The sequence below is a fragment of the Homo sapiens genome, chromosome 13 (assembly GCF_000001405.40).
Source record: "Homo sapiens chromosome 13, GRCh38.p14 Primary Assembly".
Taxonomy (NCBI): domain Eukaryota; kingdom Metazoa; phylum Chordata; class Mammalia; order Primates; family Hominidae; genus Homo; species Homo sapiens.
Genome location: NC_000013.11, coordinates 77,155,935 through 77,183,633, shown reverse-complemented (window position 1 = coordinate 77,183,633; position 27,699 = coordinate 77,155,935). Strand labels below are relative to the sequence as shown.

The 27,699-nt window shown below is 35.9% G+C and overlaps 1 protein-coding gene across 1 annotated transcript in view; it reads left to right on the top strand.

Moving 5' to 3' along the window:
* Window positions 1–27,699, top strand: part of MYCBP2 (MYC binding protein 2) — a 282,438-nt gene that overhangs the window by 143,461 nt on the left and 111,278 nt on the right. Inside the window, exons 33-46 of the mRNA NM_015057.5 lie at window positions 1,712–1,933; window positions 3,316–3,507; window positions 5,680–5,886; window positions 7,006–7,137; window positions 9,145–9,323; window positions 12,000–12,142; window positions 13,920–14,020; window positions 14,988–15,206; window positions 17,080–17,305; window positions 18,243–18,361; window positions 19,093–19,180; window positions 21,679–21,728; window positions 25,525–25,697; window positions 27,432–27,576. Coding sequence (NP_055872.4) covers window positions 1,712–1,933; window positions 3,316–3,507; window positions 5,680–5,886; window positions 7,006–7,137; window positions 9,145–9,323; window positions 12,000–12,142; window positions 13,920–14,020; window positions 14,988–15,206; window positions 17,080–17,305; window positions 18,243–18,361; window positions 19,093–19,180; window positions 21,679–21,728; window positions 25,525–25,697; window positions 27,432–27,576 — 2,196 coding nt within the window. The remainder of the gene's footprint in view (window positions 1–1,711; window positions 1,934–3,315; window positions 3,508–5,679; window positions 5,887–7,005; window positions 7,138–9,144; window positions 9,324–11,999; window positions 12,143–13,919; window positions 14,021–14,987; window positions 15,207–17,079; window positions 17,306–18,242; window positions 18,362–19,092; window positions 19,181–21,678; window positions 21,729–25,524; window positions 25,698–27,431; window positions 27,577–27,699) is intronic.

Here is a 27,699-nt window from a genome sequence, read left to right as displayed (position 1 = left end):
GTTGCATTGAGGCAAGATTGTGCCACTGCACTCCAGCCTGGTGACAGAATGATACTCCATCTCAAAAAAAAAAAAAAAAAAAAAAAAAAAAAGAAATAGGGACTATCACTATAAACAACTTTATACTGGTGAATTTTTCAGCCTTAGAGGAAGTTGACAAATTCCTTGAAAAATATAATTTTATCAAAACTAACACATTAAGAAATAGAAAAATCTGAATTGCCTCATATCCATTTAAAAATTATCAAAAACTTTCCCACAAAGAAAATTTCAAGTCCAAATATTGTCATTTATGAATTCTGTTAAACATTTAAGAAAGAAATAATGTCAACCTTTTACAAAGTCTTTTGGAAAATACAGGAGGCAACACTTCCCAACTAATTTTATGAGTTTAGCTTTATCCTATACCAAAACCTAACTAAGATACTACAAGGAAAAATTACAGATGAATATCACTCAGAAACATAGATGCTCTTAAAAATATTATCAAACCAAATTGAACATGTAAACAATATATCATAACCAAGTGGGATTTATCTTAGAAATACTTAGTTAAATAATTGAAAATCGATGTAATTTACCATGTTAACTGAAAAAAGAAGGCAAATTGATGATTTCCTCCATATAGCTACAGGAACAGTGGTTGATGAAACTAGCAGTTACTCAATGATGAAAACCTCTCAGGAAAGTAGGATATAAGGAAACTCCTAAATCTGATAAAAAGATATTTACAAAAAAATCTTCACTAACAACATCCCACTTACTGGTGAAATCTGAATATGCCCCTAAGTTTGGAAACAAGACACGTGGTATCTACACTCACCACTTATATTCAGCAGTGCACTGGAAGTCCTAGGCCTCCCCGCCCTCCTTCGTGAAAAAAATCATTGTCATCACTAATGCATCCCAGGCAACTTTGCATCCATGTAGCAGAGTAGTATGTTTTACCACTCAATTTCCAGGGGCAAGATTATTGCCTGGACTAGTGCACAACTTAATTACTCTCTCACTCTGAACCTTCCCAGTCTGATATGGTTCTTTTCTTCTTTGCTACAGAACAGGCTAGATTTAGCAAATGTTGGTTTAACATATGGAATGTTACTCTGCTTTTATGCTTAACTTTGTAACACAGATGTTTGAAGGACTAGGTAATGTGTACACAATTTTGTGAATTAGGATATCATGTGTTGGCTTTAATGCTTTTTTATGAAATTTTGTAAGTATGCTACTAATTTTTCTTGGTAAATTATGGAATGTGATAATATAATTTTGTGACCTTAGTGAAATGTGCTTGTAATAGCACAGATTTATAATTTGCATCATTTATTATTTGAGAAAAATAGTCTCAGTCCTTATTGAAAATACCTTAGATACATTCTAATTGGGGCCTTTTTGGCATCTCCCTTTGAAACAGTGCTAGAGAGTACTGTGATTGTGAGGATATGAAAATATAAAAATGCTCATTTACTAGAGGACAGGAGCCTGATTTTTCTTGACCAGACTTAATTTTTCATCTTCATTGAATAGAAACTTAAACAATTTTTTAAATATATAGATGTAGTATTATTCTATAACAAGACAATTTAAATGACAGAGTGACAGAAAATTTTGGTATAATTTAAAAGATGGTTTACCTTTTATGTATTCAGAAACTTAGATTATACTGATGCTATATTTTTTGGTTGGGGGGCCATATTTTTGTTTTTAAAAGGATATCCAAGAAGCAAACTTCAAGACATCAAGTAGCCGACTCCTTGCAGCTGTTATGTCAGCTCTGTGTCACACGTCTGTTAAGCTGACTTCCATCTTCCCGATTGCGTATGATGGAGAAGTATTACTACGATCAATTGTTAAACAAGTTAGTACAGAGAACGACTCAACACTAGTTCATCGTTTTCCCCTTTTGGTGGCACATATGGAAAAACTCAGCCAGGTAGGTCTGTCTCTGAAATCTTTTATACAGAGGCACTAAAACTCTAAATGGTTTTATTTATTGCCTCTTTTATACAGAGGCAATAAAACTATAAACACACCAAGCTAAGCGTATTTAGCTTGGTGCTTATTCTTCTCTATTTTTAAGTATATTTACAAAATGATTATTTTAAATATTTTTGAAAAATGTTCATATTTACCTATAAAATGAAGTTTTTTTGCTCTAACGGTTTAATCACACACCTTTAAAAAAATTTGAGAGTTATACAATGAATACCTACATATTTGTTTTTCCTGAACCATTTGAAGGTAAGTTGCAGATACTTTACATTCTAATATAATATTTTAGATTTCTAAGATAGAACAATAAGAAAATAAAGGATTTTTAAAATATCTACTTAATAACACTTTGGTATATTAAAATAAGCACTGTAAATAATAGGTATAGGAAACATTCACATAAATCATTTTCATGCTGGAAATCAGCTAAATTAATCATCTTTTCCCTTTTTTCTGAAAAATAAAGTATTTTTCCTTTATTGAGACTCTGTGACTTCTTGAAATTTTTCTACCGGTAGGGGTTGGAATTTTCTTATCTCCACTTAGGAAAACAAATACAGTAGAAATTATAAAACTACATAGGAATCATATGTGTGTACAAAAAGAATTTTGTTAAAAAAGTGATTTACACAGACTACAGTTGCATTACAGCTAAATATACTAGAATTTATTATCTCAGATTAAGACCTTGTCCTATAGAAAAAGCTTTTTATTTTTGTTTTTTAAGACTAGCTCATTCTGTCACCCAGTCTACAGTGCAGTTGTGCCATCGCAGTTTACTGCAACCTCAACCTCCTGGACTCAAACGATCTTCCCACCTCAGCCTCCCAAGTAGCTGGGGCTGTAGGCACATACCACCACACCCAGCTAACTTTTTAAAAAAACATTTTGTAGAGACAAAGTCTTACTATGTTGCCCAAGCTGGTCTCAAACTCCTGGCCTCAAGTGATCCTCCCATCTCAGCCTCCCAAAGTGCTGGTATTGCTGACACCACGCCCAGCCAAAAAAGCTTTTTAAATGGAAAGAAGTTTTCTGTCTGTCATATAGAATTGTAAATTGAAAGTTAAATAAGAGAATAAAATAGGACTCAAAGCTAATAAAAACATTTCGTAAATGTATGGTACTTTGATACGCAGAGACAGATAATTCAAAAAAGAACTTCTAAGTGAAAAGTGGCTCCACATATAACCAGAAAGATTTGTAGAAATTGACCCTGATTCAAGTCTGAATTTTAAGAGTATCAGAAAGACAAGGTTTTCAAATTGAGTACTCCTATGAAGGAAAATAAAACAATACCTTAGAACTTTTTCTTATGTATCGCAGAGTGAAGAGAATATCTCAGGGATGACAAGCTTCCGTGAAGTTCTGGAGAAAATGCTGGTCATTGTTGTGCTACCAGTCAGGAACAGCCTGAGGAGAGAAAATGAACTCTTCTCCTCCCACCTCGTCTCTAACACCTGTGGATTACTGGCCAGCATTGTCAGTGAACTGACAGCGTCAGCCCTGGGATCTGAGGTAATACATTATATTTTGACACTGGATAAAAAGCACATGTGTAAGTTTTTTACACAGTTTCTTTTTTCAACTATTTTGGCTTTGTGGAAGCTAATTTCAGATTGGATTAGCAACCCCAATGCATTGTTTTTCTTTTTTGCCTTTCTCTCCACCTCCTACTTTCTCTGATTTGTTACTTCTCTCTCACCAGTTTACCCAGCATCCACAGGAATATAAAGTATACATTTTCCTCATAGAGCAGGTCGTCATCTGCCCCATTGCACAAGCCCACCACCATGCCCCGTGAAAAGCAAAGATAGTTCTCACTGCTGGAAGATGAGTAACATTGCTGAAGTCAGGCCCTACTCATAGTGCACACATAGTGTGGGAAAGGTAATGAGGTTTAGACTTCAGCTCTGCCCACTCAACCGACCCTAGAGAAATACATACTTAAAATTGGAATAATAATTTTTATTTCACCTCTATCACAGGTTTTTTGAAATTATAGTAAAATATACATAATATAAAATTTGCCATTCTAATCATTTTTACGTGTACAGTTCAGTGGCATTAAATGCATTCACTTTGTTGTACTTAGTTGTACATTATCACAAAGTTTTCAAAGTCTCAAATATTATGTTTGAGAAAATCACTTTGAAAGTGCCTTTACATTTTGTAAAGTAACATTATTCCATTTCACTGCCTTACTCTTTCTTATAACTTAACTGAATGTTTTGACTGAATTTGGGGAATGTTTCTGTTTTTTCCTCCTAAAAAACAGACAGTAGATTGGTTTGGAAAATCATGTCCTAATATGAAATATCTTACATCATTCAAATGAATGTTTAATAATCAGCATATATTCAGTGGCCCTAGCTCCCAAGTTCTTGTCAAGGAACTTCTTTTCTCTATTTTACTTTTATAATTCCTAATCTTTGCTTTTTTTAAAAAATTTATTTTAACACCTATTCTGAATTAACCCATCCAATATATACACATTATTGATTAATTGTGACAGTTTAGCCTTTAGAATTTCATTGTATGAAATTCATACGTAAGAAATTCGCATACATATGGTTCATCGCATACACTTGAGCTAATTTTAGTCTCTCATCCTGGGAAGCACTTTCTAAGTTTCTTGGTTAACTTTGAGTTTGGCCTCAGAGACGATTGAAGCCCTTGTCAGAAATTTTTTAACTTTTTACATTTACTCATTTAGTCTATAATACCTTCCTTTGATAGTATACTCTGCAGGATGCAGGAAAGTCTATAATGTGTAGATCCCCTTCCAAAGTTTACTAAAGAGTTCTCCCCTTTAAACTTACCTTTCCAATGAAAAGGAATACCAAAAGTTACAGGGTGCCTGGTATACAACTTTGGGAGTTCCCACAGGTCCTGGCTTAGAGATGAATATTTCTTTCTCAGAGAAGTTTGCAATTTTTGTTAGAATCATAAACTTCCATTTTTGTATCTATTTAGTCTCCCAAAATTCTGTAGCCAAGTTAGATTAGAAGTAGGCTTTGTAAATAAAAAGAGCGATTTCAACCCAAAGTAAGTTCTCTAATTCTCTCTAGTGAAAGTCTATAATTAGTATAGTTGCACATGTGTATGTGTACGTATTCAAATACTGAATGCTGTTACAAAAATATCACTGTATATATTCGTAGTATTCAATCTTAGGGTATAGACCATTTTCTTCAAATGAAGTTTTACTTGCAAATTCACAGGTAAGAGGAGAGAGGACATAGTCTGGTTGAAGAGGGGAACCATAAATTTACCTCTTCCTTGCACACCTATCTCTGCAGAATTTCTAGAGCTCTGTGTTGCATAGTTTGAAAACTGTTGATCTATAGAATTTCGATGAAATTTTTAGCATCTCTTTTCAAAGTCTGATGATTTATTCATACATTATGACTGATAAGACAAGCTTGTACTTCTGACATTATAAATTAAGTGGAAAGTATAGTTTCATATGGCTAAAGGAAGAAAATACTGTCAAGTGACATTGATTTGTGAATTTAGAATGATAAAATCTGGTTTTATTGTGAGTTAATCTCTCAGTAGAACATACCTTTAGGAATGTTTATATCCACTTATTAAATAAAGGTTATTTTATTAGACTTCTTAGAAACCTTTGGATGGTTTTGTTAAAGGTATACCAACTACTGATACAATTGCTTTTATTGTTCACAGGTTGATGGACTTAATTCTCTTCACTCTGTAAAAGCTAGTGCTAACCGATTTACAAAAACAAGTCAGGGCAGAAGTTGGAACACTGGGAACGGGTCCCCTGATGCAATCTGTTTTTCAGTAGACAAACCTGGAATAGTTGTGGTTGGTTTCTCTGTCTATGGAGGAGGTGGAATTCATGAATATGAATTAGAGGTGTTGGTTGATGATGTAAGTATCACCCTTTTAGTATTTATCCTGATTAGTGGGTTGTGTATCAGGATTTACCATTGTCATAGTATGTTCAGGGGTTTACTAGATCAATCACTGATGAATGACACTAAAGAAATTGAAAAAGACTGGCCACAGTGGCTCACACCTGTAATCTCAGCTCTTTGAGAGGCTGAGGCAGTTGGATGACTTGAGCACAGGAGTTCAAGGCCAGCCTAGGCAATATGGCAAAACCCTATCTCTACGAAAAATACAACGCACGCCTGTAATCCCAGCTACTCTGGAGGCTGGGGTGGGAGGATCACTTGAGCCCGGGAGGTTGAGGCTGCAGTGAGCCATAATCATGCCACTGCACTCAAGCCTGGGCAGCAGAGTGAGACCCGACCCTGTCTCAAAAAAAAAAAAAAAAAAAAGAAAGAAAAGAAATTGAAAAATAATGATTTTACCTGATTGTTTGTGTTCCATCTTTCCACCTTGGGTCACTACTGCTTCATATTTTTTGTACTTTCAGAAAGAGAAAGATTTAAAGTAGAATTAAAGACTAAAAGTGTTTAGCTAAGTCCCTGATGACAAGTCTTGAGTAGTTTTTTTTTTTTTTTATATTGTCATTTTTCAAGAAACACAATGTTGAGATGGACTATGTCATAGAGTACTAATGGGTGATTCTTAGTGAAGACACTATTTGTTGACTGATTGAGCTATATCTTTCTATATTCTCTAAAATTAAAGTACCTGAGTTTTATTAAAATGGGACAGATGGGGTAGCATGTAAATCATTGCCTATTAAATAGCAAGTCTATCTCTATCTCTAACTTGATTCCTTTCACTAGTTAATTTGAATTTATTCCCTACTTCATTAGGCTTTATAAATGTGAAGAAGTAGAAATAGTTTAAGTCATCAGATGAGAAAAGCTTATTTATGTTGTAGTCTTCTCAAGAAATCACATAAAAATGTATATAGTACCCCCAACTTTTTCTTTCATATGTATGGGAAAATACTAATGGCTAATTTTATATTCAAGAAAATAAATTTTAAAAATAATAATTATAAATCAAAATTGTTCATACAATAAAATTAAGAGTCTGTTGGAATTTTTGTGTTTCATTTTTTTTTTTTAGAGTGAACATGCAGGAGATTCAACTCATTCCCACAGATGGACATCTCTGGAATTAGTGAAAGGAACGTACACAACGGATGACTCACCCAGTGATATAGCTGAGATCAGACTTGACAAAGTGGTTCCTTTAAAGGTAGTTTCAACTGAATGTTTCTATTGTGAATAAGAGGTATTATTATGTAGTTAAAATAGTGAAGAGTATTCCATGAATTTTGTTTGTTACCTATAGCTATTTGTAAGTTATCCTTTATATGGTACTTAAATATTTATGGAGTACCTACTACGTACCTAATGTTGTACCACATTATATTATATTTTTGCATAATGTTTCTTAAAGTCAGGAGTAGTAGGAAGTTTTGTAGTCAAACAGACTTAGCTTTGGATACCTGCTGTTCCACATGCTGACTTTAAGACACTGGCAGATCATTATTTAACCACTTTGAGACTTATCTGTAGATTGGGAAGAATAATACCTGCATTGTAGTAGTATTGAGATTAAATAATGGAAATAAAACACCTGCCTTAGTGTCTAGCACAATATGAAAAATAAATATTAGCTCCTGTCTTTTCTTCTCTTATTGTGCCCTAACTCATTTAAAAAAAAAAAAAAGTGTTTTTGTTTTGTTTTGTTTTGTTTCTTTATTTTTTTTTAATTATTATTATTATTTTTTTTTAGATGGAGTCTCACTCTGTCGCCCAGGCTGGAGTGCAGTGGTGTGATCTTGGCTCACTGCAACCTCTGCCTCCCGGGTTTAAATGATTCTCCTGTGTCAGCCTCCCGAGTAGCTGGAATTACAGCCACGTGCCACTATGCCCAGCTAATTTTGTATTTTTAGTAGAGGGGTTTCACTGTGTTGACCAGGCTGGTCTCGAACTCCTGCCCTCAAGTGATCCACTCCGCTTGGCCTCCCAAAGTTCTGGGATTACAAGCGTGAGCCACCGCGCCCAGCCTATTTCCTAACAATATTTGGCAAAATAGAGAAATTTTACCACATCAAAGTAATTATAGATGTTAAAATAAAATTAAAGTATTTCTGAATTCAACTGAAATAAATTTCATTATAGAGCAGAATTTTGGATAAGATCGGTACACGAGAGGTTTCATCAGGAAGAATTTAGATACTGAAAAACCAAAAAGCTTTTATTGTGAAATTTATATCATGGGTCATAAAGCATTAGTTTCTATAGCTCACATTTTAAAAGTACAGTGCATTATATTTTGGACAGCTTTTTTCCTATGGGTTTTTTTTCTCATGTCTGTTTGCCTATATATTTCTATCTCTGAGTTTTTCTTAAAAATATAATAGACTCACCATTTTTTTCCTCACATCTAAAATTATTTTAAAAGTTAAACTAGTCAAGGAAAAGTATCAGCTTATGCAATTAAAATCCCTTATTGCCGGGCACAGTAGCGCACACCTGTAATTCCAGTACTTTTGAGACACCAGGGAGGGAGGATCACTTGAGCTTGGGAGTTTGAGGCTAGGCTGGGCAATATAGTCAGACCTTATCTCTACAGAAACACCCTAAAAAATTAACTGAGTGTGATGGAACACACCGGTGGGAGGATTGCTTGAGCCCAGGAAGAGGAGGCCACATTGAACCAAAATTGCACCACTGCACTCCAGGCTGGGTGACAGAGCAAGATCCTGTCTCAGAAAAAAATATATATATATAATATATAAAATATATATATATTATATATATATAATATATATTATATATATATAGTATGGCTAATATTCTAGCAGTAAAATTAAGAGCAGGCACTAGTTACATTGGTTGTGTTCAGACCTAGTTCCATCACTTACTAGCTGCGTGACTTTGAACAAGTTACTTAACTTCTCTGAACCTCAGATTCCTCATCTGTAAAATAGGGATAGTAATGATACTTACCTTATGAGGTCATTTTAAGGATTAATTAAATTCCATAAAGTAGTTAGGACAGTTGCTTTTATGCAACAGGTGTTCAGTAAATGTTAGCCGTCATCGTGTTTGATTCATTAAAAACTTATTTAATTATATCATCTGTAAATATGACAAAGAATTTCAGTATATTTGCCTATTTTACTGCTAGAGTTCTTTTTATATATCCTCTGTACATTGTGAATAAAAGATGTTTTACATCTTTATAATGAAGGAAAATGTTAAATATGCTGTGCGCTTGAGGAACTATGGAAGCCGTACAGCCAATGGAGATGGAGGAATGACCACAGTTCAGTGCCCTGATGGTGTGACATTCACATTCAGCACGTGCAGCTTGAGCAGTAACGGCACAAACCAAACCAGAGGACAGATCCCACAGATACTCTACTATAGGTGGGTGAATGTATAGAGATAACGGAAATACTTTACAGTGGTAGAACATACACAGTCTACTACCAGGTAAAATTGCTAACTGGATACTTATAATTAAATTGTACAGTGTATCTTCTTAGCACATACTTGTACAAATTCATATAAAGAAATCTCTTTTTAATATATAAATTCAATGTTTGCTACAAAAGTTAATGCTTTAAAATATTTTTGCTGTTATTTCTTCAATATCATTGAAATGTTTGTGTACTGGGCATATGTGCTGTTGCTGTCACTCTATAATTTCTGGTCTGCAATTTCAAATTTAAAGGATATTCATTTCTTTTTATAAAATACCTCAAACTAATGATCAGATAGACTGTACTCAGATAGTGGTGTTGCCTTGATCTTGTTATCTAGTCACAGAATATTTTGATGTCTGTGAATCTTGGACCTGCCCCCTGGGGCCCTAGAATATATAATAGTGTGTTTCTTATAATGTTTTTAACAAAAACCATTCCTTATGTAAACCTTGGAAAATAAAAGAATGATAACAACCCTTGGGTTAAAAAAATCTTTTAAATAAACATTTCTCACTGAGTCTGAATTTTTCTTGTAGCGGCAAAGCTGGCGTCTTAGGTAGTCATGAGTACCATTTACCACATTTGTCCTCAGCCTGACTTGGCATTAAATCACTGAATTTCCATGTCACTTTCAGAGGCTTGCTGCTTCCTCTCTTTCCTTCATGAAGAGTCTAGGGATGGTGCCTACGTAGATAGTATAAAATAATTTCCCTAGATATAGATTTTCTGCTTCCTCTTTCCATCAGAAATAGAATAGAAATAGCAGGCAGCAAATAGCTATGTAGTTCATTGTTGCTGCTGAAATACAAAAGCTGTCTAGTCTTTTGCCCCAGTCAAGAAAAGCTTTCTGTTACATAAGCACTACAATAAATAGTACATTATTCTCTTTCTTAAACTATGGATTAAAAACTCTGTTATGCGTAAGAGTTACGTGTTTCAGAAAGCTGGAGAGCCACTAAGAGCATCTGCCATCCAAACTTTATATCTTATACAAAATACAGTGTTTTGAGTATTTTCATGTTTTCTATTAAGCTTTAAATACCCTTAGCTTTACATTTTTTATAAATGAAAAATGTTAAAGTCCTTTAGTTTTAAATACCATCCTGCTCTGATAGCTCCCAAGTTTACATCCCTAGCCTTCATGACCTCTGAGCCCTGGACTCCGGGTCTCTCTTCTGACATCTTCATTTGGATGACACTAGTGGAGATGGTGTTAGTTACTGTGTGCCAGGACATGCTTTGAGTATGTTACCTGTGTTATTTCACCTTGTCCTCACAGTAACCCCAGGAGGTAGGTACTTTCCTTATCCCTGTTTCACAGATGATGGAACTGAGACGCTGAATTGTCTAGAGTCACACCTCTGTTAAGTTACGCTACTGCGACTTGTAGGCAGGAAGTCAGATTTCAGGTGATACACCCTTAACCAGAATGCTGCACTTTCTCTTTAAGGATGTTCGTTATAGTTGGCTAGTAGACATCTGAGGTTTCATGTGGCTAGAATATTCATCTCCCTTCCACAGTTACAGCCAGACACCTTGGAGTCATTCTGGACTTCTCTTTCCCTCATACTTTACACCTAGTTCATCAAGAAGTCCTGTCAGCTGTACTTCTAAAATGTCCTAAATGTGACCTTTTCTTCTACTTCCATATTTAATAGTCTAGACCAAGCCACTGCAACCTCTACCTGCTAACTGTAATAAGCCTCTAAACTAGTCTCCCTCCTTTCACTATTGGTCTCCTACAATCAGTTCTCTACAGCACAGCCAGAGTGATCTGATAAAAATATAAATCATACCAAGTTCCACCCTTGCTCCAAACCCAGCTTCCCATTCTCATACCAGTATAAAATGTAAAGTCATTATGTGGCCTACAAACCTTACACAATTTGACTCTTGTTTCCCTTCCCACCCATCACGCTTCACTCTTTCTCCTTTTCTTCCAGCCATACATGTCTTCATTCTGTTCCTTTAATTCACCAGTATGTTCCTTTTGCCCTGACAGTTTTCCCTCAGCTCTTCGCGTGGGTCTTTAAAAAAAAAAAAAAATTCAGGTCAGCTGGGTGCGCGGCTCACTCCTATAATCCCAGCACTTTGGGAGTCCAAGATGGGTGGATCACGAGGTCAGGAGTTTGAGACCAGCCTGGCCAACGTGGTGAAACCCCATCTCTACTAAAAACAGAAAAATTAGCTGGGCGTGGTGGTGCATGCCTATAATCCCAGCTATTTGGGAGGCCGAGGGAGGAGAATCGCTTGAACCTGGGAGGCGGAGGTTGCAGTGAGCCGAGATCATGCCACTGCACTCCAGCCTGGGCGACAGAGCAAGACTCTGTCTCAAATAAGTAAATAATTTAATTAATTAATTCAGGTCTTTGTTAAATATGAGTTCCTCGGAGAACTGATCTTATTTAAAATAACACCCTTCACTTTATGCCCTATGCTGCTTTGTTTTTCTTCAAAGCCCTTATCATTCCCTATTATTGTATAGTTGCATGTTTACTTTTTTAACTTTTAAAAAGCTATAAATTAAATGAGGATCTCAGATCTAGATATGATTTCTGGCACTGGATCATGTTTTACTTACCATTGTAAAATAATCTCATGTTTGCTCATGCTACAGGAGTGAATTTGATGGAGATTTACAATCCCAACTTCTGAGTAAAGCCAATGAAGAAGATAAAAACTGTAGCAGAGCATTGTCTGTTGTAAGCACTGTCGTTCGAGCCTCTAAGGACCTCCTGCACAGAGCTCTTGCTGTGGATGGTAATATTTTTTCTTTCTCAGTAGTCATATTTTAGATTCTTTATTCACTAAATTTTTGCATAGAATTATTGAAGAGGAGCCTTCTATTATACAATTTTATAGAATCTAAGTGTTATTTATAGATCCACCCATGGATTAATTTTGGATAGGTCACACTCTCCATACTGTAATGCAGAATTATTTAGAATGCTCAAAAGGAGTTACCATATATTCTTATTTTCTTAGTTAATTTAGTAAAAGAAAAATTGTATTTGAGTTAAACTGGGTCTTTATTCTTCTTTTAGTAATCAAAAAGCTTTTTCTTCCTCTCTGTTCTTTTTCCAGTAATGTATCGCTATCCACCCAAAACTCTGGGGTACCCTAACCATCTCCTCAGAGGCACTTGTCTAAATTCAGCTCTATGAGTTTTTCCATTGGAATCTCTCTAGTTTGTATTCTCCTCTCTTTCACTTCTTCTCCTGCTGTCATTTAGACTGCCATGGTGCAAGTACATTTCATTTTTTAATATAGGGTTAATATCCCGATAATCTCACTGCTGCCTTTCCCCCATTCTCCATCTAGTTGTTTAGTTATTCTTCACACTGGCAGCAGAGTTATCATTATGAAAACATGGTTATGGCCGGACATGGTGGCTCATGCCTGTAATCCCAGCACTTTGGGAGGCCGAGGAAGGCAGATCATGAGGTCAGGAGTTTGAGACGAGCCTGAGCAACATGGTGAAAGCCCATCTCTACTAAAAATAAAAAAATTAGCCAGGCGTGGTGGCAGGTGCCTGTAATCCTAGCTACTCAGAAGGCTGAGGCAGGAGAATCGCTTGAACCCAGGAGGCGGAGGCTGCAGTGAGCCGAGATCGCACCACTGCACTCCAGCCTGGATGTCAGAGTGACACTCCATCTCAAAAAAAAAAAAAAAAAGTTACCTCCACCTCCTTATTGTATAACATTAATTCCTAAACCTAGTTTAACATCAGAACCACCTGGAAAGCTTGCTGAAAATAAAGACTATTAGATTTATCCCCAGGTCCTGAAGCTAGGCTAAAAAACTATTTTTTAAATAAGTGTGCAGCCTGTTTTGATATAACAGCAGACCTAGGAATCAGTATTTGGGAGAATAATTGGCTTATAAAATAAAGGTCTTCACAGTATAGGCTCAGCTTATCTTTCCAGCACCATGTTCATGGATAACTGACTAAAATGTTAATCAGCAAAGTGCTTTTCTTGGAAAAACAGAAAGCAATGTAGCTTAATAACAGTAAACATTTTTGGAGTGCTGAATATGTGTAGGTGTTGTTCTAAGTGTTTTACATATATTACCTCGTTTAATCTTCCCAACATCCAAATGAGAGGAATACTGTTGTGAACCTAAGTTACAGAGTAAGTAATTTGCCTAATGTCACTGATACAGCCATGTTTGGTGCCAGAATGGTAATTTAAAATAAAGACTCCATTACCCTAGGTTCTGATTCCAGCTCTATTATTTTACAGGTACATGTACTTATGTATTAAGTATTTTGGGTAAGATACTTAAACCCTATGTGCCATGGTTTTCCTTTCTGAAAATTGGGGATAATAAAAGTATCTTATTGTGAGTATTAGTTGAGATAAGGCATGTATTCTCAAAAGCCTTTAGAATAGTACCAGGCCCTTGACAAGCACCCAATTGGTGTCAACTATAGTTTCGCTCAAAAGAGCAGAATATAGATTTAGTACAGCATGTATGCAGTACAATGAAATTACCTTCTGACTATAGTTTTAATGCCTTTTATGCCTTTTTTTAGCTGATGACATTCCAGAACTGCTGAGTTCTTCCAGTCTGTTTTCCATGCTGCTCCCCCTTATTATAGCCTACATAGGACCAGTAGCTGCTGCTATTCCCAAGGTGTGTAATTTAATTCTATAACTTTGAATGTTTTTTTTAAATATCTTTTTTAAAAAAAGACTTTGTGTCTTGTCTTTACAAAAACTTGCATCTTTGAGGCATCTGGGATATAGGTAACAAGCAGAGATAGATCTGCTAATTATTAAACTTCTCTCTTCTTAGTATTGTTTACTGGATTGCTGTGCTTATTTGTTGGCTTTTTTTTTTTTTTTTTTTTTGAGACGGAGTCTTGTTCTGTCACCCAGGCGGGAGTGCTGTGGCGCGATCTCCGCTCACTGCAAGCTCCGCCTTCCGGGTTCACGCCATTCTCCTGCCTCAGCCTCCCGAGTTGCTGGGACTACAGGCGCCCGCCACTGCGCCCGGCTAATTTTTTGTATTTTTAGTAGAGACGGGGTTTCACCGTGGTCTCGATCTCCTGACCTCGTGATCCGCCCGCCTCGCCCTCCCAAAGTGCTGGGATTACAGGCGTGAGCCACCGCGCCCGGCCTGTTGGCTTTACATTTGAAGAATCTGTGAATGGGAAATAGATTTTAGCAATTTTAGGAATATGATATGTAAGGAAAGATTATGTTAACTGAGGTTTTTCACATTTATGAGGTTGATGCCAAATGGTCTTCATTAATAACAATAGCAATGTTAAAGGATAAGAGTGTTTTAAAATAGTGACATATTCAAGAGATGGAAGAAATGATAAACTATTGATTCTTTGGCATAATTAAGTAAAACCTGATTTACTTCAGATCATGAAAAAACAAGTTTTTAAAAATATAGATTTAGATATTGTCATGTAACATCTAAGATAAATCTTTTTTTAATCAATTGAAAGATTTCTCTTTGGACAAAAACTTAACTAGTGGAAAATTTAGATGGAAATTGTTATTAGAGTAACCAACAATTATTGTAATGCATAATTTTAGAACCACTTTCACGTGTATCTCATTTAACCATATTTTTATATGTGTACTAGGTGGCTGTAGAAGTCTTTGGCCTTGTCCAACAATTGCTTCCGTCAGTTGCCATTTTGAATCAGAAGTATGCACCGCCTGCCTTCAACCCTAATCAGTCGACAGATAGCACCACAGGAAACCAGCCTGAACAGGGCCTCTCTGCTTGTACAACCTCCAGTCACTATGCTGTCATAGAGAGTGAGCACCCGTATAAACCTGCCTGTGTGATGCATTACAAGGTAGGCACCGGTTCTTAGTGTGATTCGAATGTAAAACTTGGCATGAGGTTCTCTGATGATATCTTAAAGAATGCCTGGCCTGTATTTACAAGTGTATTTTCTTTTATAGTATTTACATATAGAGAATCAGCAGGTGATTAGGCACTGTTGGATATATAAAATAATTTAAGATGGAATTTTTATCTCAAAGATGATAAAATTTTATTGGTTTATGAGAGTTGTTCTTAAATCTTCCTACAAGTATAGTGTGGTATATAATGCTAAACTTCATGCTGTGATTTGCAATAGTAGTAGATATAAGCATTAACAATTTTAAATTGTATTTTTTGAACTAACATTATTTGTACCACAGCCTGAGCTCTGAAAATTTACAACCCCAATGTAAGATTTAAAGTAGTCTATACATAATGTTAAAAAAACTATGTATAAAATGTTTATAAATTTAATGTTATTAGAGAGTATTCAAAATCCGTATTCTTTGTTTTTTCATTGTATCATGCAAATTAAGGAAGAGAAGGATAAACTTGTATTTTGTGTGCTTGTAAAATATTCCACTTTTCATGGTAGAAACTATTAAGCATATAGAAGTAAACAAGCTAGTACAGTGCACTTGTTTATCCATCATCCCAGATTCAGCAGTTTCAACTGTTAGTCAGACCTGTCTTATTTATTCCCAACCTACTTCCTAACCTCCTATATTGTTTTAAAGCACATTTATGATATTTATTGATACAATGTCTCCAAAATATAAAGACCCTTAAATATAACCATAGTATTATCACATTGAAGAAAACAATTTAATGTCTGCAAACATCATGTAAATTTTTAATAATTTGAGTTAGAATCCATATAAAATCCATATATTGTGATTAGTATGTCTCTTAAGTCCCCTTTAATCTTAAGTCCCTTTAAATCTATAAGTCTCCCTCTGTCTCTCTCTCTTTTTGTTCCCTTGAGTTCTATTTGTTGAAGAAACTGGATCCTATGTATTTGTTAGATGGGAGCCTCTTCAGCTTACCTGCTGGTTCTTTCAGACACCCCTCTTGCAGTCATTCCTAGCTTCCTTGCTTTCTGGTAGGATAAGATGTTCCAGGCTCCCTTTATATGTTTGATGCCTCAGACTTGGAACTAACCATTTTTTCAAAGTGTCCTGATTTCTGTTATACATACACACACATGTTATATTTATATATGTATATACATAAATGTATATATGTTTATGTACAGATAGATTTATGTGTATAGTTTTTTAAAGATAAAATACCTCATGAGTTTATACTGTTGATACTAATTCAAACAAGGACCACAGACACACCTCAGTCTCCTTTCTCTTATATCTAAAATTCCTATTAGTGACACTGGGAATATCAGAATTAGAAAATCATTAAATTATTTCATTTGGTGTGTGTGTGTGTGTGTGTGTGTGTGTGTGTGTGTGTGTGTGTGTGTGTATGTGTGTGTTTTGTCTTTGAAGTATATCCCATCTAAGTGTATGTCAAATTACTGTGTTTAAAGTAAGTTGGAATGCTCCCTCTGCATGATTATGCATTCATTGGATATACACTTAGAGAGTCATTTATTTTATCTTAGATTTTAGGAATTGCTTTTTAAATTTGGATTTTGTTTTATAATTCTTTACATAATTACATACTTTGAAGTCAAATTTATGAAACAAATCTAGCTTTTATCTCTGTCCTCTTTACTCTGTTCCTCCTTCTCTGTCATAGGTAACATTTTATTCTATTTTAATTTTGTACTTTATCCTGTTGTGTCATTTAATAAAAGCATAGACACACACACACATACAGATGCAGATGTGTATGTTTGTGTATATATATATCTGTATTCATGTCACTTTGCCTGTTGACCTCAGGTGACATTCCCAGAATGTGTGAGGTGGATGACAATCGAATTTGACCCTCAGTGTGGTACTGCACAGTCAGAAGATGTCCTTCGTTTGTTGATTCCTGTCAGAACTGTTCAGAATTCAGGATATGGACCAAAATTGACATCTGTTCATGAAAATCTTAATTCATGGATAGAATTAAAGAAATTTTCAGGATCCTCTGGGTGGCCTACTATGGTTTTGGTGTTGCCAGGTAAGTTTTTTTTTTCTTCTGTTTTATGTGGTAAAATAAGTGCATTTATGTATATTTAGTAAGGGTGTATCATTGAAAATGTTTATCTAATTTTTAGAGAAATTTATTAAAGACCTACTATGTATCTGGATTGCATTCGAGGAATAAATAAGGTACCCTGGGCAAGGGGCACAGCCTGATCTGAGTTTTGGAGAAGACAATGTTTTAAGGATTTTGTGAAAAAAAGATTAGCTTGAGCAAAGCAGAGTGTTAACGTTGAGGAGTAGCTAGCTGTCTGTGTAGTTGGGTCCAAATTATAGAAAACAATGGATTAGATCTTTTATTTTCCCAGGAAGTGCTAAATTTTCAGAACTTACCTAAGGACTGAAGTCCTTCATTGTAAGAGAATTCGTAAACCACTTTCTTGTGTGAAGAGAAACTATGTTTTAAAACTTATGGTTTGTTGCATTCTTAACCAGTTAACCAGGACTACTCTTGTGATCCTTCAAACTAATAGGCAATTTCATTTCAGAAACTTCTTCTTTCCACTCTGACCTGCCTATTTGTTTGTTTGTTTGGGAAAAGATCAGAAAAAGCCACACTCCAGGGTAGAGGATTGCCCACTTTGAAAAATAAAAAGGCTAACCTCAGTATTTGACAAATAATTGAAAAATGATTGCCCATGTAACTGAAGTACTTTATTAAGCAGGGGAGTTTGATTATGAAAAAAAGTAACAATTCATTTGCGATAGACCTGTTGTTTCTAGTGTTATTTTTGGTACAGTTTCCTCAAGTAGATATAGGAACGCTCCCCGCCGCAAGTCTATTTAAGTTATGTAGTATATGATTTGTGTTTTTACCTATCTTGTGATAAAAGAGAAAGTCCATTGGATAAAAGACAGGGAAATTTTTATAAAATTGTTTTAGAGTTTGAACTCAATTCTGGCATTTTTATTAGGAAATGAGGCCCTTTTTTCATTGGAGACTGCATCAGATTATGTGAAAGATGACAAAGCTTCTTTCTATGGTTTTAAGTGTTTTGCAATTGGATATGAATTTAGCCCTGGACCTGATGAGGTAAGAATGAATTATCTTTTCATTCTTTTAAGGAAGATTGTGTTTCTAAGGGCTAGTGAGTTGTGCTTCTAACTGACTTAAATTGTACTGTTGCCTCTATTCGAAAAATTGGGGCCTGGTGCAGTGGCTCACACCTGTAATTGCAGCACTTTGAGAGGTGAGAGAATCCCTTGAGACAGTTTGAGACCAGCCTAGGCAATATATCGAAATCCTTTCTCTACAAAAAAAATAAAAAGAAATTAATTTTAACCTAGGGGTGTGCAATTCTAAATTTTTGTAGTTTATGTGCAGTGGTCTGTTTTGCTACTTTTAATACATGAAGAGGATGGAGTTTGTGCAACATGACCCAGCCTTTGAAGTATAGTTATACCTGCCCTGAACCTGCTCAGTTGGCTATACCTTTCTGAGTAAACAGTAGAACCTGTTTTCAAAAAGGGGCTATCATCTTGTCTAAATGTTTTAAATCATACAATAAGATAAAACCAAGGACAAAGTGGGCCAAAGTCATGAATGAACAGTTATTTGAACAATGAACCTTTAAACCTGAACCTTATAACCAGCCTGAGCCACAACATTGAGTACTGAATCTCATCTACTCTCAATTTAACCATTAGCTTCACGTGCTTCCTTCTCATTTCAAAAGTAATGCTTGAATTCAAATCACATTTTGTTGATAATCCGTATTATCATTCAAACATTTTTAAAGCAGCAAATTTTATGCAATTCCATAGGGAGTCATCCAATTGGAAAAAGAATTAGCCAATCTTGGTGGGGTTTGTGCAGCAGCTCTGATGAAGAAGGACCTAGCACTTCCTATTGGTAAGTGTGGCCAATACTGGATGTTTTTTGATAGGGTTTTGTTTTGTTTTGTATGTATTATAAAAGGGCCAAAAATAGATTTGCAAAATGAATTTTGTAATCTCATATATTCATGAGCAATAACTGCTTCATGTACTGGTAATTTGAGTTTGTTTAGAGACTGAAGGGTATCCTCTGACCTTTTTTAATTTACACACGCACATGGACACCCTTTTTATGCATATACATGCTTTGAGCCAGGCAGTGGGTATAGTGTGTATATTCAGCCAAGCACTGAATATATAGTATTAAACCAAAAGTTCTAGATATTTCTTAAATATTCTAGTGGAAATATCAAGTAGACAACTGAATACTCATTGTCTAGATCAGAGAACAGGTCGATAGAAATGTAATTGAATATGATCGTTATTTAAAGACATGGGACTGTATGAAAGATATTCTACAGCAAGTAGATAAGAAAGAGAAGATAGCTTAGGATTAAAGCTGTGACTTATCAAAATTTCAAAGATGCACAGAACAGGAAGAGGAGGCTGCAGATGAGACTGTGAAGGAACAGTCAGTGAAGAGGAGAGAAACCAGGAGAGGGGATGCTCCTGGGATTTTTGCATGCTCTGAGAAGTGAATTAAAATCTATCATTGGACTTGAAGACTTGTTGGTTGCTTGTATATGCAATAAGAAATATGTTAGCAAAATGAGAGAACTGTAAGTACTTTCAGAGTAGAGAGGGAGAATGGAAAGTAAGGAAGGGCGGTCCATTTGAATATAGGTAGCTCTTTAGAAGAATTTTTCATTGAAGCAGAACAGAGATGAGGCAGTGGCAGAAATGGTACTTTTTTATATGGAGCAAATTTGTATGATATATAGATTAATCTATAATCAAGGGAGTAAAGTTGAAAGTAAAAATGCTTACTGATTCTCTAATATTTATACATGGTTTAAAGTTTTATTTTCTTACCCCCCCAAAATCCATCTTTACTCCTTCATTGAAGATTACTCTTCCCACTGTTATTTTTTTCCTCCCTTTTCTTCCTCTGCCTTTCCTTCTTTATTCCCTTTTCTCTTCCTGGTCCCTTTTATTCTTCTCCATCCCTTTTCTCCCACTTAATATTGGTATATATGTATGGAAATGAGACCTTGTATTCTAGCCACATGAGGAAAATTGCTAGCAACCTATTTTTGTCAATAGCTGTTAAATTTTACATTATATATACTTTTTGACATAGAAAATTTTTATACATACTTGCACAAATACTCAAAAAGTGTATGTTGAAGGGTGGATTAATATAGCAGTGCTTGTGATTGTAAAACCTAGAAACAACCAAAATGTCTTTCAGTTGGGAACTGGTTAAATAAGTAATGGCATAGCCATTCAATGGTAGTATATGCAGCTCTTTGAAAAAGTAGACCTATACAGCCTAACAAGGAAAGCTGTCCAAATTATATTGAGAAAAGCAAGTTGCAGAAGAAGGTCCCATTTTTGCATACATTACTCTGTATATTACAAAAAAGTATGATCATGCCTGTAATCCCAGCACTTTGTGAGGCCAAGGTGGGTGGATCACAAGGTCAGGAAATTGAGACCATCCTGGCTAACACAGTGAAACCCCGTCTCTACTAAAAATACAAAAATTAGCCGGGCATGGTGGCACATGCCTGTAGTCCCAGCTACTCGGGAGGCTGGGGCAGGAGAATCACTTAAACCCATGAGGTGGAGGTTGCAGTGAGCCGAGATCGCACCACTGCACTCCAGCCTGGGCAACAGAGTGAGACTCCATCTCAAAAGAAAAAAAAAGAGTATGTTTATGTGTGGTTGAAACACATATACCTTTTTGGTTTGTTTGCACACCAAGTTTCTAGAACAACACATAGGCTGTTGACACTGGATAGTTTTAAGGGAGCACGGCACTGGTTAGAGGTTTAGAATTTTTTGTTCTACACTCCTATACAATTTGAGTATTTCCCATTGAACAAGTATTACTTTATTAGTAACATTTAATAATTAAACTATCAAAGAAAGATCAATAAATAAAATATGTTCTATATTAACTAATAAAGGAGAAAATGGCTAGGGGATGCAGTCACTGCCTTATATTTTTCTGTGAGTCCCTGTTGTTTACTAAAGTCATAGCTCTTCTGTAAGGCAACCAAAATATAAAGGCCCAGATCTGAAATAATTTGTTCCCTCTTTTTTTAGACAAAACGAATACACTAAGTTCAGAAAGTATACATTTATATTCATAAATGTAGGATATATCTTTGGCAAATCACCCATGGATGCTTCTTGAGTATTGCCTTGAGAATTGTAGTATATTCCCACTGGAAGTATCTTATATATTAAACTGTATGCCACTAGGATTTTTTCCAGAATCACAAATCTTTTCAATCTGGAATAGCAGAATTATTTTTTTAAAAAAAGTGTAATGAATGCAAAGGACTAGAAAATTAAACTAAACTAAATATTGACATATTTTAGTAAAACTCTTTATTTACACAACAGGTAATGAATTAGAAGAAGACCTTGAAATTCTTGAGGAGGCTGCATTGCAGGTATTGTCCCAAATGTTTTAAGGATAAACTTTGTACATTAATTTAAAAAGTATTGTCACTCAGATCAGCCTATTTGTCTTGACCATTGGGTTCATTCATTAAGTACTTCACTTTATTCATTGGCATTATAGAGATAAATAACTTATCATTGCTCCCTTTGGTGGGAGAAACCCATGTGAGCCCTATGTATTTGGTGGGTAATTGACTCTGGAGTTAGACAAAAATCCTTCGGGAGAAAAAAACAAATCAAGTGCCAAGGGTGCGGAGGATGGCTTGCAGAACTGTGGCCATTTAAATTGCATCTTGAAAGAATTTGTTTTTCTTTTTTTGCCTGCTAGAGAAAGGGGAAAGACATTTCACAAAGGATGTATAGTTGTGTTATAAGAAGCAGCAAAAGGTGAGGTTGGTACAGTTGGTGAGCTCAGTCTGTGACAAACCAGTATGTCATATTAAGTGGTTAGGGCTAGTTGCCTGTAGACAATTGGGAGCCATCATTTGTTGTTTTTATTATTGTTTGCTTTACCTTTTTTGCTCGTTTAGGCATTAACTAGCACATTTGGCACTGAATGGAAATACATGAGTACTATATTTCAGTGCAATACCCCCTTTGGATCTGTTACGTCAACCTAATATTTCTCAAAATTGCCTAGAGATGACTACATTGTTTTCTTACTTCATTAGTCTGACTTCAGCTAGCTAGTAATCTGTAATAGGATGGAAATATCAGAATCTGTAGACAGCATTTGTCAAATTGTAATACCTACTTAGGCCAAACCAGAGTTTCTGATGTACTGCTAAGTGAGCCCCATTGGATACCACACACTGAGAACATCAGTGATGGGGAAAATTTTGCATCTAGCAATGGTGTGAAGATAGAAGAAAAGTTGAGAGTCTCTCAACTGGATCAGTGTTACTCAGACCCTAGGATGTGATAGATTTGTAAAATTTTCCAAAAATATTTTTCCTGAGAACTTATTAAGTAAAAACACTCTTTAAAAATGTACTACTTTTTATCAGCAATGTCTTATAAAATAAAAGACATTTTAATAGCCCCAGATGGAAAGGTCTTAGAATGGAAGACTCTGTTATAGCCTTAGTTTTTCTAATTCTGCCATGGATCAGAGAACTTTGGGCCCACATTTGGAAAACACCAATTTAGATCATACTTATTTTCTATACTAGGTATATGTAGTTAGTAATAGTGATTTAAATAATATCTGTAGAGCACTTCATAGGTTTCAGCATCTTTAATATTATCTCTCTGTTTTTATAATTACACTTCGAAATCAGTATTAGGTCTTGCATCTTACAATTATAATAACTGAAGTTCAAAGAAGTTTTGTGACTTCTTGAAGACTCAGAAGGGAAACAAAGGCTGGTACCCAGACCTTGTAATTGTGAAGGCTAGTGCTTTACATTTTACTTATTTCCTGAGGTGAATTAATCAAAGCGGTAATAATGAAAACATTTATTTCATCTTTGTCAAGCACTATTTTAAACATTTTGTGCATTTTTAACTCCCCACAGCAACCCAATGAATTAAAAAGTTTTATCTCCATTTACAAATGAGGCATAGAGCATTTAGGCAGTTCGCCCACGATCATACAGCTAGTGAGCAACTGCACTGGGATTTGTTCGCTGGCAGTTTGGTGACAAAAGAAACCCCGTCTCATTAGCTGGGCGTGGTGGCGCATGCCTGTAATCCCAGCTACTCAGGAGGCTGAGGCAGGAGAATCGCTTGAACCCGGGAGTCGGAGGTTGAGGTGAGCCAAGATCATGCCATTGTACTCCAGCCCAGGCAACAAGAGTGAAACGCCGTCTCAAAAAAAAAAAAAAAAAAGTTTGTGATTTTGAACACTGTCTTCTGATCATAGGGAGCTGTAGTGTTGTCAATAATGTTAAGAAACGTCTGAGTTTTAAAAAGCCATTGGCATCTTATGTGTATTCCTTTTTTAAAGTTAAATCTTTGTACCTTAAGATTCAAAATAAAAATAAATTCAACAGATATATAATAAACAATATGTGTCAGGCAACATTCTAGGTGAAGGAGAACTATCAAAGAGTTTCTATTAGTCCATTTTCACACTGCTATAAAGAACTACCTGAGGCTGGGTAATTTATAAAGAAAAGAGGTTTAATTGACTCACAGTTCCCTACATGGCTGAGGAGGCCTCAGGAAACTTACAATCATGGCAGAAGGCAAAAGGGAAGCAAGGCAAGTCTTACATGGCAGCAGGAGAGAGAGAAGGGGAAAGGCCTACACACTTATCAAACAACCAGATATTGTAAGGAAAACAGCAAGGGGGAAGTCTGCCCCCATGATTCAGTCACCTCCCGCCAGGTCACTCCCCCAACATGTGGAGATTTATAATTCGAGTTGAGATTTGGGTGGGGACACAGAGCCAAACCATATCAGAGTTCATATATGGTTTATAATTTCAGGGATTATTATGGTATATAAGGTGTCATCTAGACCAGATATGGAGAGATCTTTATTATGTTATTGTTCAAGAAAAAAAAAAATGGTGTCCCAAATTGCCTCTTTTTGGCATGTAAGGTAGTTATTCTGATAATCTAACATGTATTAAACACTTACTATTTGTTAGGCAATGTATTATATACTTTATATGCATTATTTAGTTTGAATTTTTTAACTGTGTAAGAGAGATTATTTGATGACCAGTTTATACATTTTACAGATTCAGGGATGGTAACTTTTTAGCTTAAGAGCACACAGCAAATAATTTGTCCAAAGCCAGGATTTGAATTTAAGTCTATTTGATTCCAAAGATGATTATTTTTGAAACTGTATAATTTCAAATTTGATAGTACTAGAAATGTAATTATTTTCTATGAAAAAATCTTACTGGAATTTATTTTATAGTCAGTAAAAAGTTTTCAGAGTTCCAGCATTTAAAACAAGTCTCTCCAAAAACATAAGACTTGCTTGTCAGATAGGTGAAACCTAAAATTTGTTTTATCTGCCTCTTCTTCTTAACTTTAGTAAGGCTTAGGCAGGCTAATGAGATGTGTGTGCTGCCACAATCAGGCTTCCACCCACTTTTTACCCAAGTCAAGACCTTGGTGCCCACCCACCCAAGAGAACAGACACACCTTACTCATGATAGCTGCCTGTAAGGGGGACTGAAAAAGAGGGAAGCCGGATGCAGTGGCTCAGGCTTATAATCCCAGCATTTTGATAGGGCAAGGTGGGAGGATTACTTGAGGCCAGGAGTTCAAGACCAGCCTGGGCAACATAGCAAGACCCCATCTCTACAAAAAGTTTTAAAAAAAATTAGCCAGCCATGGTGGCATACGCCTGTAAGTCCCAGCTACTTGGGAGGCTGAGGCAGAAGGATCGCTTGAGCCCAGGAGGTTGAGGCTACAATGAGCTATGATGGCACCACTGTACTCCTGGGTGGCAGAGTAAGGCCCTGTCTCAAAAAGAAAAAAGGGGGAGACATCCACAGTTGCTGACAGAAGGGAGCTCTGGCCCTGAAAAATGAGGACATAACATATAGAGGACTGGCATGGAAGGAGATACACCATTTTATCCAGCATGCAGATCTCTGACAAGGCATTTATTTTTGAGGGAGGAAAGAGACTGGAAATATTGTCTCATATTTTTCTCTCCTAGGAATTTCCTATTCTGTGGGTTAAAAGAAGGAACAGTGGGGTACGTGGAGAAAATGATTTCTCCGTAAAGGCCTATCTGAAAGTATCTGCATGTTGAAAAATTTTATGTAATTAAAGTTTTATTTTTAAGAATATATAAATATTCTTTTTTACTTAACAGGTGTGCAAAACCCATTCTGGAATTCTTGGAAAGGGTCTAGCTCTTTCTCATTCACCAACTATATTAGAAGCACTTGAGGGAAATTTACCACTCCAAATCCAAAGCAATGAACAGTCTTTTCTGGATGATTTTATTGCCTGTGTCCCAGGATCAAGTGGTGGAAGGCTTGCAAGGTAAATGTACTTTAAGTTACTTACTTTATTTTAGGGCTTTCATCTTTCTTCATTTCTGAAAGAGGGGAGTCATTAGAATATTAAAATACTACTTTAAAAAAGTCTGGTTTATGTATGTTTAACTTGCTGAAATATAAAATGATAGTTAATATTTTTGTTTGGCGGTTGTTTGTTTGTTTGTTTTTGAGAGAGAGGGTCTCACTGTGTTGCCCAGGCTGGAGTGCAGTGGCATGATCTCAGCTCACTGCAACCTCCACTTCCTGGACTCAAGCGATTCTTGTGCCTCAGCCTCCCAGGTAGCTGGGATTACAGATATGCCACCACACCCGGCTATTTTTCTTTTTTGTATTTTTTGTAGAAACAGAGTTTCCCCATGTTGCCCAGGCTGGAATAGTTATGATAGTATATGATAAGACCAGGTGCAATGGCTCATGCCTGTAATCCCAGCACTTTAGGAGGCTGAGGTAAGTGGATTGCTAGAGCATAGGAGTTGAAGACAAGTCTGGCCAACATGGTGAAATCCTGTGTCTACAAAAAATACAAAAATTAGCCAGGCATGGTGGCACACTCCTGTAGTCCCAGCTACTTGGAGGCTGAGGTGGAAGGATTGCTCAAACCCTGGAGGCAGAGGTTGCTTTGATTGTGCCAGTGCAATCCATGGTGAAACCCTGTCTCTGCAAAAAATACAAAAATTAGCCAAGCATGGTGGCACACACCTGTAGTCCCAGCTTCTTGGAGGCTGAGGTGGGAGGATTGCTCAAACCCTAGAGGCGGAGGTTGCTGTGATTGTGCCACTGCAACCAGCTTGGGCAACAGAGCAAGACCCTATCTCAAAAAAAAATTAACTAATTAAATTAAATTTATTATAGTTGTTAATTGATTATTTTTGTTGCTTTTTGTTTTTAGGATGAAAAGGGAAAAAAATATGCTGGCCTGCATGATTTTACTAGTAAAAAAAAAATCCCAACTTTTTTCTGGTTTTAATTTTAAAATTGCAGAGATTACTCTTTAGTTTTTAAAAATCACAAAATAGTGATTGGAGAGGAATGTCAAATCACTTAAGTCAGCCTCACTACTATACTATGCAGACGTTTTTATGTAATGCATGGTAGAATTACTTATTACTCAGCTCACAGGACAACTTGAATGTGTAGATCACAGAATGAATTCAGGAATGAACATCACAAATTACACAACATTGATGCATTTTAGGTGGAAAGCAAGGTAATGAGGAAGATAGTTGAGAAACTGTGAAAAAAAGATGGGCAGTACACCTTGAACCTGGCTGCTGTCAGGCAAGTAGAGGGCCATTTCTACCCCTGCTTTTACAGAGACACTGCTTTTTCCAGGCTTGCAGGATGGCAGAGTAAGGTGGAGCTCCTTCAGAGAGAATGAGCCTGCTCAGGACTTCAAATTATGCACAACCTACATTCGTGTTCTTGGTGATTTTAAATTAGCCATAGTTAAAATTTCAAGTTTCCTGGTTTTAAAAAGTATTTTTATACTGTATTTAAATATCAGAAATCTCCTGTGCTTAGGCATGTTTTTTAAATGAATTTGTCCTTAACAGTTTCTGAGGGAGACACTCATGATTATCACTGAGTTGGAAATGAAGATAATGTTTTAGCATTTTGTTTGATACAAGTTTTGTTCATTTGGCTTAATTTTATATTAATTGTTGAAGATGCTGATCAGTGTTTGGGGTTTTGTTTATTTGTTTTTCATTACTGTTAGGTGGCTTCAGCCAGATTCATATGCGGATCCTCAGAAAACATCTTTGATCCTGAATAAGGATGATATTCGTTGTGGTTGGCCTACCACCATAACTGTTCAAACAAAAGACCAGTATGGGGATGTGGTACATGTTCCCAATATGAAGGTAATTATAACTGGATTAAATTAGCAGACATCTATATACTGGCTGCAATGACTGATAAAATTTTAGAAATGCCAAGTGCTGAGAGTCCATTTGTTCTACCCTCTTTATATAAAGGGTGATGCT